The sequence below is a fragment of the Homo sapiens genome, chromosome 3 (genome assembly GCF_000001405.40).
Source record: "Homo sapiens chromosome 3, GRCh38.p14 Primary Assembly".
Lineage (NCBI taxonomy): Eukaryota > Metazoa > Chordata > Mammalia > Primates > Hominidae > Homo > Homo sapiens.
Genome location: NC_000003.12, coordinates 84,651,450 through 84,666,137, shown reverse-complemented (window position 1 = coordinate 84,666,137; position 14,688 = coordinate 84,651,450). Strand labels below are relative to the sequence as shown.

Here is a 14,688-nt window from a genome sequence, read left to right as displayed (position 1 = left end):
AGGATTCATGCATAACATTCTAAAGTTCCTGGTATGAACAAAGACACACACACACACACACACACACAGAGAGAGCTCTTGAAATTGTGTAGACATCAAAGTGTGCTTTAAAAATGTAAGTGTGAATTAGCTCAAAATATATAGATTAAATCTCTTTGAAATACATTTGTGTTTAAAATTTAATGTTAGCAATGCTTAGCTTGAAGATGTCTTGGGTTTTGCTTAGTAAAAACATTTGAATTATCTCACTGAACTGAACTTAATGTTTTTAACTAGAAATGAATATGCAGCTATAACTCCTAAATTCATTGAAATAAATGCATAGTTAACACACATTTCTAAGAAACTCACAAGCAATGTAATTTATATATTTGAGGAAGTTTTCCTAGACCACTGCTTTTCAACGTTCATTGTACATATATGAATTGCCTGGGGATTTCGATAAAAGTAAAATCTACTTTTGTATGTGTGGGATAGGACCTGAAATTCTGCATTCCTAACAGGCTCCCACTTGATGCTGCTACTGATGTTCCATGAATCGTGCTTTGAATAGCAAGAGTCCAGTTCACAGGCCACATGGGAAAGGCATATTTGTTTCCATGTCTTGAAACTTCAAGGAAAATTCTTTCAAATAGTATAATATATGTATTATATATTATAACTCTTCCCCTCTAGATTTCCATCAGAAAGCTATAGATATGATATCCGCTGAAGGGTTAGAAGCAACATAGACACGTGGAGATGTCTAAATTCTCTGTACCTCATTATTTTATGTTTAGTTTTCAAAAATATAGGGTTAATCTGATGCTGAGTTTTGAACTTGGGAGGCAGTTGACTAGTACAATTACAACTGCTGTCAGCTATGGGCATAGGCTTCAACTTCAACTATATATATAACAGTAGTAGATATGAATATTAATTCAGCGAAGTCAAAGAAGGCTTCTTACATGATCATTGTATTGAGATCTGAAAAATGCATTAAATTACTATATATATAGGTAGTTATATATAATTATATAACTATATAAATATATTTATATATAAGGTTTATATATAAATATAAAATTTATACCTATATTATATATATGTGTGTGTGTGTGTGTGTGTATTTTTATATATATATATATATATATATATATATATATATAGTTCCAGGATACATGTTCAGGACATGCATGTTTGTTACATAGGACCAATGAGCTGTATTTAAGCCAGCGTAAATACTGAGAGTCACACTAGTGGTTCCAGCAAATTTAGAAATGGAGTTCACAAGTTACTATCTATCTCAGTAAGATTAAACTTGACAGGTATGATAGGAAATTTGCTTTGACAGAATAAGCTTTGGAACTTTGTTTGTGGTTAATCACAGTCATAATCATTCTTACATTACATAAATAAAATCATTTTAATAAGTATGTTAAGTATGAATTTATAATTAATATGGAAAATTTTTATGTTTCGTGTCTTGTCATTTAATTTCCTAAAGAGGAGACAGACACATATGGATCTTTATATAAGGATTCTTGGTAAGAATGGTGAAAAATCTCCTTTATCATACCAAACAGAAAGACAATTTGTTCAATAAATGTATTTAATTATAAAATTTTCATTTGTTGAGAATGATTAATTTCAAAATCAAATTAATGAAGACACACTTGGTCTTTTACCTAGAATTTGTGAACTACAAATTCTAGGAGACACAGTTTGCCTAATTAGTAGGTTAAGCAATAAATTTTAGTTCAGTATGACTGTATTTAAGAAAACTCTTTATACTATATAAATAGGGACTAATAAGTAGAATTTCTGAGAAATATTTCATATATGAATATAAGTATCGTTAACTTGGGGTTGTAATGAGATCTCCCTCAAGAATTCAGGAATAAGTGAAGTATAACAGCTCTTTGAGAGATTAACTGTTAAATAATGACAGTAGAACAGAGCGGAAATATGTAGGTCACTGGAAAGAGAAAGAATACTTTCAAGGCCTGTGTGACTTAACTGTTACCTGAATAAATATATTAATATAGCTAGTAAAAGAATAAGATGTTCATCGGGGAAGTTGGTCAGTGGTAAAATCATAGGTAAAGGAAAGTAACACCTATAAATTTTATCAGCACCCATCCAGATATTTCTCTTGGATGGAGTTTTAACCAATAACCTGAACCCTCTGTACACATTACCCTTCCTCTCTCCTTCTCCCCTGTATCCACCTCATTATTTTCCTACCCATCTTGTTCATGAGGCTCTCTTAGCTGTGAGATGGATGATGAGATACTCTTCTAGCTTGATGCTACTGAACATTTGATACACCCAACTCCTTCTTTTGTTTTAATTCCTTGCAAGATAAGCAAATTTTGTATTCATTTCCCCTTGCAGATCTCATTAAAACAGAAAATGAAAAATCTCATGCATTTGAAGATTTCAGCCTTTGTGATAAATGTTATTATTTATTATAAAATAATAAATAGGTATTACAATGTACTGTGTGGGAAATCCAGATTAGGTGCTAGGCGTTGAATATCTGGATGGGGCTAAATACATGAAGTATGTTTAACTTTCTTCTACAAGTTGGGCAATACACTCACACACACACACACACGCGCATATATATATATGTATATATATGTATATATTTATATATATTTAAGAAATGAATTAAACATATTATTTTTAATAAAAATGTCATACCAGCTCCTTTTATAAGCCTTTTAAAAACTTTTTTATAAAATTAATAGAAAATAGTAGGTAGCTCTTTGTAAAGAGCAAATTACTGTTGCTATGTTACTTTAATCCAAGGTATAAATACAGAGATGTGAATTGAGAAAGAAGTAGGGTAGGTCTATGGGCTTCTATTTTAAAAATGACGTCAATTATAGTAGAATGATTTATAATGTACACCTACGTTTATTGCAACACTATTCACAATAGTAAAGACTTGGAACCAACCCAAATGCCCATCAATGATAGACTGGATAAAGAAAATGTGACACATATACATCATGGAATACTATGTAGCCATAAAAAAGGATGAGTTCATATCCTTTGCAGGGATGTGGATGAAGCTGGAAACCATCGTTCTCAGGAAACTAACACAGAAACAGAAAACCAAACACCGCATGTTCTCACTCATAAGTGGGAGTTGAACAATGAAAACACATGGACACAGGGGAGGGGAATGTCACACACCAGGGCCTGTCTGGGGGTGGGGGGCAAGGGGAGAGATAGCATTAGGAGAAATAACTAATGTAGATGACGGGTTGATGGGTGCAGCAAACCACCATGGCACGTGTATATCTATGTAACAAATCTGCACATTCTGCACCTTTATCCCAGAACTTAAAGTATAATTAAAAAAAAAAAAGAAAAAAATGATGTCAATTCCCAAAGATTAGTATAACCTTCCCTCTTCTGATCCTTGCTTTCAAGGTCTTAGAATAAATAAGATAGGCTGGCAAGACATAAAGAATGTTCACTCTGTCACATACTCTTCTAATTCAACATTTGCTTTTTCTTTCTTTTACTCTGAGACGGAATGACAAACATAAATAAGATAGCATATGATTTTCTGGTCACAGACTGGTAGGATCCCCAATGTTTATCCTAGTATGTTATATATTGTTTTTTTCTTCCTTTTTCCTCATACTGCATCAGTACTTTAGAAGTAGGGTAAAATTAAACAAATAGAAAGCGAAAGCTAATTTGTAATTGGTTGTGTGAATGTCCTTCAGTTCATTGCATCACATTCTACTTTTTTTGTTCATTCAGCAAATATTATTAAAGTATTAATGATAGACTGGATTAAGAAAATGTGGCACATATACACCATGGACTACTATGCAGCCATAAAAAAGGATGAGTTCATGTCCTTTGTAGGGACGTGGATGAAGCTGGAAACCATCATTCTCAGCAAACTATTGCGAGGACAAAAAAACAAACACCGCATGTTCTCACTCATAGGTGGGAACTGAACAATGAGAACACATGGACACAGGAAGGGGAACATCACACTCTGGGGCCTGTTGTGGGGTGGGGGGAGGGGGGAGGGATAGCATTAGGAGATATACCTAATGTTAAATGATGTGTTAATGGGTGCAGCTCACCAACATGGCACATGTATACATATGCAACTAACCTGCACATTGTGCACATGTACCCTAAAACTTAAAGTATAATAATAATAAAAAAGTATTAATATATGTCTGGTGTAGAAATAGATCCTGGGGACTTGTAGTCTCCAAAACTTGCCAGGTTTTGCTTTCATGAAGTTCTCAGTTTAGTGAAAATGACAAAATTATATTCAGGAGTCATAATCATATGTAAAAAGTGCCAATAGTGATGACTATGTACTTTGTACAATAGAGATGAATAATTTTAGATATGAATATTCATTCAGTGAAGTCAAGGAAGACTTCTTAAATGATAATTGAATTGAGATCTGAAAAATGCATAGAATTACTACTTGTAAGTGAGGAGAAAACAGTAATCATTTCATTCAGTATATGCAAAGACCATGTGACAACAGTGAGCTTAGCTTAAAAGAGATTAGCAGAAAGCCATAGTGGCTGAAGTCACGTGTGCAAAAGTGAAAGTTGTATAAGATCTGGACAAGCTGACCTGGAATTGACATTTCAAGGCTTTTCTGACGTTTTTAAGAGTCTTGTACATTATCCTAAGCTAAATGGAACTCCTTAAAAGGAGGATGCAAGTTGGACAGTTATGCAATAAATGCACCCTCTAGATGAGAGATAAAGCTGACAATACAGCTATGTTAGTAGGAATTTGTTTTTTTTTTTTTTCTAAGAAAGCATGGCATTTTGAACAGAAATATATTCTAAACAAAGAACGTAGTTCTCAGCTATTGGTTCTGGGTTTGGTCCTATAGGTAAGAAACAATATTGTTTACTTTTTGAAACTAGTATGGTTTTGAGAGAACTGACCATAATTAATACTTTTGCCAGGATCACAGACAAAAACTGACAGTTTCCTGGGCAACTTGAGAAACATGGCCTTGCCACCAGAACAGATTCCAAGGAAGGTCTCTAGTTGAGTGATAAAGACTTAAAAAACATGAATTGCTTGAAATCTTTGCTGGTGAAGAGTCTTATATCATGTAAAGAATTCACTGGTATTCACTGGTGGCTTTTAGTCTCTGACTTGACATCAGAGCATCAGTGATTTTTATTTTCCATTAGCTAATGTTTTATCATAGGTCTGTCCTTGGGCAAGCTTGTGTGAATCATTGCAGTACTATACAGGCATTTTCTAGTCAATCTCTTTGTTTTTGCAGGTATCATGAGAAATTGGCTTTGGCTACCATGGCTCATAGGGTAAATATCTATTATTAAACATGTGATCTCTTGACTCTGATCAGAGTAACTGATGGTCTGTGAGCCCTCTAAAAAGTCCATTTGGGGTCAAGTTCAGAAATGTTGCAAGGCAGTTTTTTGGAAATATTTTGTTCAATGGCACAAGAAAGCAGAGGTCATGTGTTCAGTGCACAGGGTAGACCCAGGAAAGATTTAGACAGTCATTAAACGTTCAGGGTTTGAGAATTTCTAAGCAATGTTTTGCTTCTTTTCATTTCCTCTTTAAATTTGATTTTATTTGTATGCACTTTTTTTAAATTTAGAGGGCTGGTTTCCTATCTTTTCCATCCAAAAGATTTGTGCATATGAAAAAAACCTTTAGAGTAATTCACTCATAAACCCTGAAAACATTCTTAAAGGGGGTGGGCAACAAAGTTGGGGGATACTTTGATTCCACTTTCCATTCTATAAACAGCCAGCAGACTATGGGGTGGAAGAAATTGCACTTGCACTTGTAGTAAGCAGGAATCATTTGATTAAAAGTGGAAAACAAACAACAAAGAGTAGTAGCCAAAAGGAGGGTTAAGAACCCATTGCACTTTATTGCACAGAACAATTGACTTTCTGCTTTTATGCATCAGTCACGTGAGCTTGCTCAATAGCTGGTCCTGAGAGATGGACACTCTCTGTATGTGCTGACAAAACCAGGTTTATGTATCTGCAGTACTGAAGGGCAGAACTTTGACCACAGCAAATTTGTTAAAGTAATGAATGCCACCCTGGAGGACTTCTCTTGGCTCTCTTGCTAGCCTAACACAGGAAACCTAACCTCTGTGCATTACTATTCAAGCAGGTTTAATTCCTGCTTGATATTAGGGGTTCACTTTTGGGAGGTTCCATTGATCTGGATAGACATTGGCACATTTGAATAAAAAGTGTAGCATTACCCTTTACTTATTAATAATGTCCTATGTTATCATAAATGAAGTTGAACCAAAGTAAGAATTGGAATTTTAGTGATTGTCAGGTGAGATATTTTAAATACAGAGCTGATGACTGACATTTGAAGAATTCACTCTCTCAAAATCTATGAGAGTAGTTGTGAGAATTTATTTTTCAGGATTAAGATAGTTACAGTAATGATATGTATACTTAACTAGAAATATGACAGAAGGTGAATGAGTGGGACTATGTTGAATCAAAGAAAGAAAATGGAATTTGAATAAGGTAAAAGGAAAATAAAAAATAACCTGGGATTTTTAAAAGTGTATATTTCGTGTAAGTAAATATATATATATGTGTGTGTGTGTGTAAGTATATTAGTCAATTCTTGCACTGCTATAAAGAACTACACTGCTATAAAGACTATTTATAGTAATTTATAAAGAAAAGAGTTTAGTTGTCTCGCAGTTCTGCAGGCTGCACAGGAAGCATGGCAGCATCTGCTTCTGGGCAGGCCTCAGGGAACTTTTACTGATTGTGGAAGGCAAAGTGGAGCAGGTGTCTTACATGGCAGGAGCAAGACCAAGGGGTGGGGGGTGGTTTAAACACTTTAAAACAACCAGATCTCATATAACTCACTGCCAAATGTAAGTATCTCTTTTCAATGGTCTCAAACCTCGCAACGTCTTAATTCATTCCAATATTAACTCCAAAGTCTAAAGTCCAAAGTCTCATCTGAGACAAAGCAAATCTCTTTCACCTATGAACCTATAAAATCGACAACTAGTTGCTTCCAAGATGCAATGGGGGGTAACAAGCTTTGGGTAAATACTCTTGCTCCAAAAGGGAGGCATTAGCCAAAAGAGAAGGGCTACAGGCCCCATGCAAGTCCTAAATTTAGTAGAGTAGTCATTAAATCTTAAAGCTCCAAAAACAGACTCCTTTGACTCTGTCTCCCACATCTAGGGCACATTGATGAAAGGACTTGGATCCCAAAGTTTTGGGCAGCTCTGCCCCATGGCTTTCCAGGGTTCAGCCTCTGTGGCTGCTTTAAAGGGTTGGCATTGACTGCCTGCCATTCTTTGAGGCTGAGGGTGCAAAAGCTGCTGGTGGATCTACCACTCTGTGGTCTGGAGGATGGTGGCTCTCTTCTCACAGCTCCACTAGGCAACACCCCAGTGGTCATTCTGTGTGGGAGCTCCAACCCTACATTTCCCCTCTGCACTGCCCTAGTAGAGATTCTCCATGAGGTCTCCACCCCTGCAGCAGACATTCGCCTGGACATCCAGGCTTTTCCATATATTCTCCAAAATCTAGGCAGAGACTCCCAAATCTCAACTCTTGCACTCTATGCACCTGCAGGATTAATACCATGTGGGTGCTGTGAAGGCTTACTGCTTGCACCCTCTGAAACAGCAGCAAGAACTGTACCTGGGCCCCTTTTAGCCATGGCTGGATTTGGAGTGGCTGGGGTACAGGGAGGAGTGTCCAGAGGCTATGTAGGGCAGTATGGGGTGATAGGAACCAGAGCTTGACCCAGGAAACCATTCTGTCTTCCTAGGCTTTGAGGTCTATGATGGGAGGGGCTGCCACAAAGGTCCCTGAAATTCCTTCAAGGCTTTTCTCCAATATCTTGGCTATCAGCAATTGGATCCTCTTTACTTATGCAAATTTATTTAGCCTGGTTGAATTCCTCCCCTGAAAATGGGGTTTTCTTTCACATGCTGGGCTACAAATTTTCCAAAGTTGTGTGGTCTTCATCCCTTTTAAATATAAGTTCCAGTTTTACATCATTGTTGTTGTTGTTGTTGTTCATACGTATGGGCATAGCCTGTTAGAGGTAGCTAGGCCACATCTTGACACTTTGCTTAGAAATTGCTTCCACTAGATACCCTAAATGTTCACTCTGAAGTTCAAGGTTCTATAGATCCCTTGGGCAGGGGCACATTGAACCCTGGCTATTTGCTAAAGCATGACAAAAGTGACGTTTGTTCCGATTCCCAATAAGTTCCTCTTTTCCATCTGTGACCTCCTCAGCCTCTACTTCATTGTTCATATCACTCTCAGCATGTTTGGTCACAACAATTTGACTAGTATCTAGGAAGTTCCAAACTTCCCCTAATCTTTCCACCTTATTCTGATCCCTCCACCCTCTTCCAACCTCTGCCCATTACCCAGTCCCAAAGCTGCTTCCATAATTTCAGCTATCTTTATAGCAATGCCCCACCTCTTGGCACTAATTTTTTATATTAGTTCTTACACTGCATGAAGAAATTCATGTCCTTTGTAGGGACATGGATGAAATTGGAAATCATCATTCTCAGTAAACTATCGCAAGAACAAAAAACCAAACACCGCATATTCTCACTCATAGGTGGGAATTGAACAATGAGAACACATGGACACAGGAAGGGGAACATCACACTCTGGGGACTGTTGTGGGGTGGGGGGAGGGGGAGGGGATAGCATTGGGAGATATACCTAATGCTAGATGATGAGTTAGTGGGTGCAGCGCACCAGCATGTCACATGTATACATATGTAACTAACCTGCACATTGTGCACATGTACCCTAAAACTTAAAGTATAAAAAAAAAAGAAATAACCTGAGACAGGGTAATTTATAAAGAAAAGAGGTTTAATTGGCTCATGGTTCTGCAGACTGTACAGAAAGCCTGGCAGCATCTGCTTCTGGGGAGGCCTAAGGAAACTGTTACTCATGGTGGAAGGCAAAGTGGGAGCAGGCATCTTATATTGCAGGAACAGGACCAAGAGAGAGCACAGGGAGGTGCTACACACTTTTAAACAACCAGATCTCATGTTAACTCACTCATTCACTATCATCAGAACAGCATGGAGAGGATGGTGCTCACCCATTCATGAGAACTGTATCACCATGATCCAGTCATCTCCCACCAGGCCCCACCTTTAACACTGAGGACTGCAATTCAACATGAGATTTGGTGGGCACAAAGATCCAAACCATATCAGTAAATATACACAAATATAAACATTCATATACCTATAACTTGTATATTTTTGAGAAAATTTGGATAAATTAAAAATTGTTTAAAAATTTTATGTATCAGTTATGTATAAATTTATTCAAGAATCAAGCCTTCTCAATCGGCTTTAAGCATGGTTACTAATGATAGGTGAAGAAGGTTTTTGATAAGAAAAGTTTTCAATTTGAAAAAAAAGATAATAATTATACTTACATGTTTTTGTTCCATTTTCTAATTCCAGATGTTCTTTTAACACCCATATTTTGAGGAAAATCATAAGACTCAAATATTTGGCAGAGAAGCAAAACAGCCAGTATTTGTTCTTCCCCCCTTTAACTCTATATGTCAGTAAAATCTGAATATTTTCTTTTAAACTCTGATCTCTGGAAAAATGCCATTTCTTCCTTCTACTGAGAGATATCAACATTGTCTAAAAAGCAGTAAGTTTTCAGAGAAAACCCTGTGTAGCATCACATATTCTAGAATATGTCAGTCTTATAAAAAAAATTATCCCATTTGATGCAACTGGGATAACATATAGTTTCTTTTGTATCTCTTCAGTTTTATTGAGGTGTAATTGTCAAAAACTGTATATATTTACAGTTTACAATGTGAGGCTTTGATATATGCATACATTGTAAAATGATAACCACAATAAAGCTAGTTAACATATTTATCACCGCACATTGTTACTTTTCTGTGGTGAGAATATTTGAGATCTACACTCTAAGCAAGTTTTATGTATAGAATACATGAAATATTATCAACTGTAGTCACCTTGTTGTATATCTCCAGAACTTACTCATCCTACATGATTGAAACTTTATACCCTTTAACTAACATCACCCGCCTTCTCCCACCCTCCGACACTGCCTACCACCATTCTACTGTCCTATAAGTTTCAGTTTTTTAGACTGCATATATAAATGACATCATACAGTATTAGTGTTTGGGTGCTTGCTTCATTTCACTTAGCACAGTGTCATTCAGGTTAATCCTCTGATTGCAAATGGTAGGATTTCCATCTTTTTAAAAACTGTCTCACTGTGTGTGTGTGTGTGTGTGTGTGCGCACGTGCATATGTATATGGGATATATATACACACATACACACCCTTTCTTCAAAGTATGGACACATATATTGATTCCATATATAATGCTGCAATGAAAATGGAAGTGCAGATATCTCATCAAGATGCTGATTTAATTTCCTTTGGATATATACTCAGAAGTGGGATTGCTGTGTAATATTATAGTTCCATTGTAAATTGTTTTGCATAAATTTAAGGTGTACAAGTGCAGTTTTGCTAAATGGATATATTATGTAGTGGTGAAAGTCTGGGCATTTAATGTCACCATCTCCTGGATAATGTACATAGTGTCCATTAAGTAATTGCTCATCCTTTATCTCCCTTCCACCTTCACCTTTCTGTGTCTCTAGTGTCTATTATTCCACACTCTATATCCATATGCACACATTATTTAGCTCCCACTTGTAAGTGAGATCATACAGTATTTGATTTTCTGTTTCTGAGTAGTTTATCTTAAGATATGGCCTCCAGTTCCATTCATATTGCTGCAAAAGACATGATTTTATTCTTTATTTACAGCTTAATAATATTATATTGTGTATACAGACCAGTTTCTTTATCCATTCATCCATTGATGGATACTTAGGTTGATTCCATATCTTTGCTATTGTAAATAATGCTTCAGTAAACACACAAGTACCAGCATCTTTTTAAAATAATGTGTTTTTTTTTTCCTTTGGATAGATACCCAGTAGTGGAATTGTTGGATCCAATTTTAGCTCTATTTTTGTTCTTTGAGAAATCTGTATATTTTGCTATAAAGTTTGTACTAATACTAATTTACATTCCCACCAGCAGTGTAAAGTGTCCCTTTCTCTGCATCCTCTCTAACATCTATTCTTTCTTGACTTTTTAATAATAGTCATACTGATTGGCATAAGATGATATTTCATTGTGGTTCACTATGTATTTCTCCGGTGATTAGTGATGTTGAGTGTTTTTCTGTATGTTTATCGCTATTGTATGTCTTCTTTTGAAAATTGTCTGTTCATGTCCTTTGCCCACTCTTTTTAGTTTTTTGAGGAACCTTCACACTCTTCTTTACACATTTCTTCATACTCAGAATGTTAGTAAAAATTTACATTTCCATCAACAATCTACAAGAGATCCCTTTGCTCCCCATCCTTGCCAACACTTATCTTACCTTTTTATTTTAAAAAATTTTATTCATTCTAACAGGTATGGTGTTCTATATCACTGTGGTTTTAGTTTACATATCCTTGGTGATTAGTGACATCGAACATTTTATTTTCACATACCTGTTGGCCACTCCTATGTCTTCTTCTGAGAAATGTCTATTTAGAATCTTTGCTTGTTTTTAATTGGGTTGTTTTCTTGCTAATGTGTTAAGTTTCTTATATATTTTAGACATTAACTACTCATCAGATGTATGGTTCACAAATGTTTTCTTCCAACTGTATATTATCTCTTACTTTGGTGATTGTTTCCTTTGCTGTGCAGACGCTTTTTCAGTTTGATAGTCTCGTTTGTCTTTTTCACTTTTGCTGTTTGTGCTTTTCAGGTTATATCCAAAAATTTTTTGTCCAAATCAAGGTCAATAAACTTTTTCCTGTTTTCTTCTAGTAGTTTCAGTTTCACGTCTTATATTTAAGCCTTAATTCATTTTGAGTTGATGGTGGGAGATAAGTATCCTATTTTATTCTACTGCATATGTACATCTAGTTTTCTCAACACCAACTACTGAAGAGAATATTCTTTATCCATTGTGTGTTCTTAGCATATTTGTCAAAGACCGGTTAGACTGTAAATGCATGAGTTTATTATTGAGCTTAGCATTCTGTTCCATTGATATATGAGTTTGTTTTTATGCCAATACCACATTGTTTTGATTACTACAGCTTTGTAGTAATACTGTGAAATCAAGTAGTGTTATGCCTCCAGCTTTATTCTGTGTGCTTAATATTGCTATGGCTATTGGGGGTCTTCTGTGGTTCAGTGTGAAATTTAGGATTATTATTATTATTTTTTTTTGTCATTTAGTAAGTTTCTTTTTTTTATTATACTTTAAGTTTTAGGGTACATGTGCACATTGTGCAGGTTAGTTACATATGTATACATGTGCCATGCTGGTGCGCTGCACCCACTAACTCGTCATCTAGCATTAGGTATATCTCCCAGTGCTACCCCTCCCCCCTCCCCCCACCCCACCACAGTCCCCAGAGTGTGATATTCCCCTTCCTGTGACCATGTGATCTCATTGTTCAATTCCCACCTATGAGTGAGAATATGCGGTGTTTGGTTTTTTGTTCTTGCGATAGTTTACTGAGGATTATTTTTTACATTTCTGTAATGAGTGCCATTAAGACTTTGATAGAGAGTGCATTGAAGTTGTAGATCAATTTGAGTAGTATGGTCATTTTTAACAATATTAACTATTTTTGATATAAATAGGAGATGTCTTTCCATTTATTTGTCTTCAATTTCTTTCATTGATGTTTTATAATTTTCAGTGTACAGTCCTTTCACCTCCTTGGTTAAATTTATTCCTAATTATTTTATTCTTTTTGCTGCTATGGTGAATGGGATTATTTTCTTGATTTCTTTTTCAGATAAGGTATACAATTTCTTCTGATTATTTTTATTATATATATTATGTATTAGTTGTTTCTATCAGTTTACAAATTTTTTATTAGTTCTGACAGATTTTTGGTGTTATCTTTAAGCTTTTCTATATATAACATTATGTCTTCTGCAAATAGAGATAATTTTACTTCCTCCTTTAGAATTTGGATATATTTTGTTTTAATTGCTCTAGCTAGGATTTCTAGTACAACATGCAAAAGAAGTCATGAAAGCGAGTATCTTTGCCTTGTTTCTGACGATAGGAAATTCTTTTAGATATGCACAATTGAGTATAATGTTAGCTGTGGGCTTATCATATATGGCCTTTATTATGTTGAGGTACACTTCTTCTATATCTAAGATATCATGATTTCTTAATCATGAAAATATTTCAGATTTCGTCAAATGCATTTTCTACATTTATTGAAATGGTCATATAATTATTACCCTTCATTCTGCTAATTAAGGTGCTATATCATATTGATTGATTTGTGCATATTGAAACATCTTTTCATTCAAGAGCTAAATCTTACCCGATCATGGCATGTGATCCTTTTAATGTGCTGTTGAGAAAGGTTTGCTAATACCTTGTTGAGGTTTTTCGCACCTATGTTTTTCAGGGTTATTAGCCTGTAATTTTATTTTCTTGTATTCTTCTTCCTGGCTTTAGTATCAGGGTAATGCTAGTCTTATAGAACTAGTTTGTAAGTGTTCATTTCCTTCAATGTTATTGAAATGTTTTAGAACAATTAACATTAATTCTTCTTTAGATGTTTGCTAGAATTTACCAGTGAAGCTATTAAGCCCTCGAATTTTCTTCATTGATTGGGTTTTGAATACTCATTCAATCGCCTTACATTTATTGTTCTTTTCAGAATTTCTGGGTTTTTTATGATTCAGTCTTTGTACATTGTAAGTTTATAGGAATGTATTCATTTCTCCTACATTATCCAGTTTGTGGTGTATAATTGTTCATGGTATTTTATTATCCTTTGTATTTCTGTTACATCAATTGGGATGTCTACTGTTTCATTTCTTCATATATTTATTTGTGTCTTCTTTACTTTTTTATTTGTCTAAATAAAGGTTTCAGAATTTGTATATGTTTTCAAAAGAAGCCAACTCAGTTTCATTATTTTTCCTATAATTTTTAATTTTTTATCTTATTCGATTTCTGCTCTGATCTTTATTATTTTGTTTCTTCTAACAACTTTGATCTTCACTTGTTATTGTTTTTCTAGTTTCCTGAGGTGTATAGTTCTGCTGTTTATTTGAGAGCTTTCTTTTTTCTTAATATATGTGTTTGTTTTCATGAATCTCCCTGTTTGAATCGCTTTCACTGTAACCTGTAAGTTCTGCACTGTTGCTTTTCCATTTTCATTTGCTTTGTAATATATTTTATTTTCTATTTGGTTTCTTTTGTAACCCATTGTTTAGTCATGTGTGTCTTGTTTAATTTCTACATTTTTGTAAATTTTACAATTTTTCTCTTGCTATTGATTGCTAGTTCCATATAATTGTGGTCTAAAAGCATACTTGATACGATTTCAATCTTAAATTTTTAAAACTTGTTTCCTGACATATGATCTCTCCCAGTGAAGTTATATGTTCATCTGTAAAGAATGCGTATGCTGCAGCAGTTGTAGGGAATTGCCAATATGTGTTTTTTAAGTCCATTATGTCTAAAGTGTTGTTCAAGTTAACTGTTTTCCTTATTTTCTGTATGAATGGTCTGACTATTGTTGAAATTGGGATATTGAGAC

The 14,688-nt window shown here is 35.0% G+C and overlaps 1 long non-coding RNA gene across 1 annotated transcript in view; it reads left to right on the top strand.

Moving 5' to 3' along the window:
* LINC00971 (long intergenic non-protein coding RNA 971) overlaps positions 1-14,688 on the top strand; it is a 231,171-nt gene that overhangs the window by 203,438 nt on the left and 13,045 nt on the right. The gene's annotated exons all lie outside the window — the stretch shown is intronic.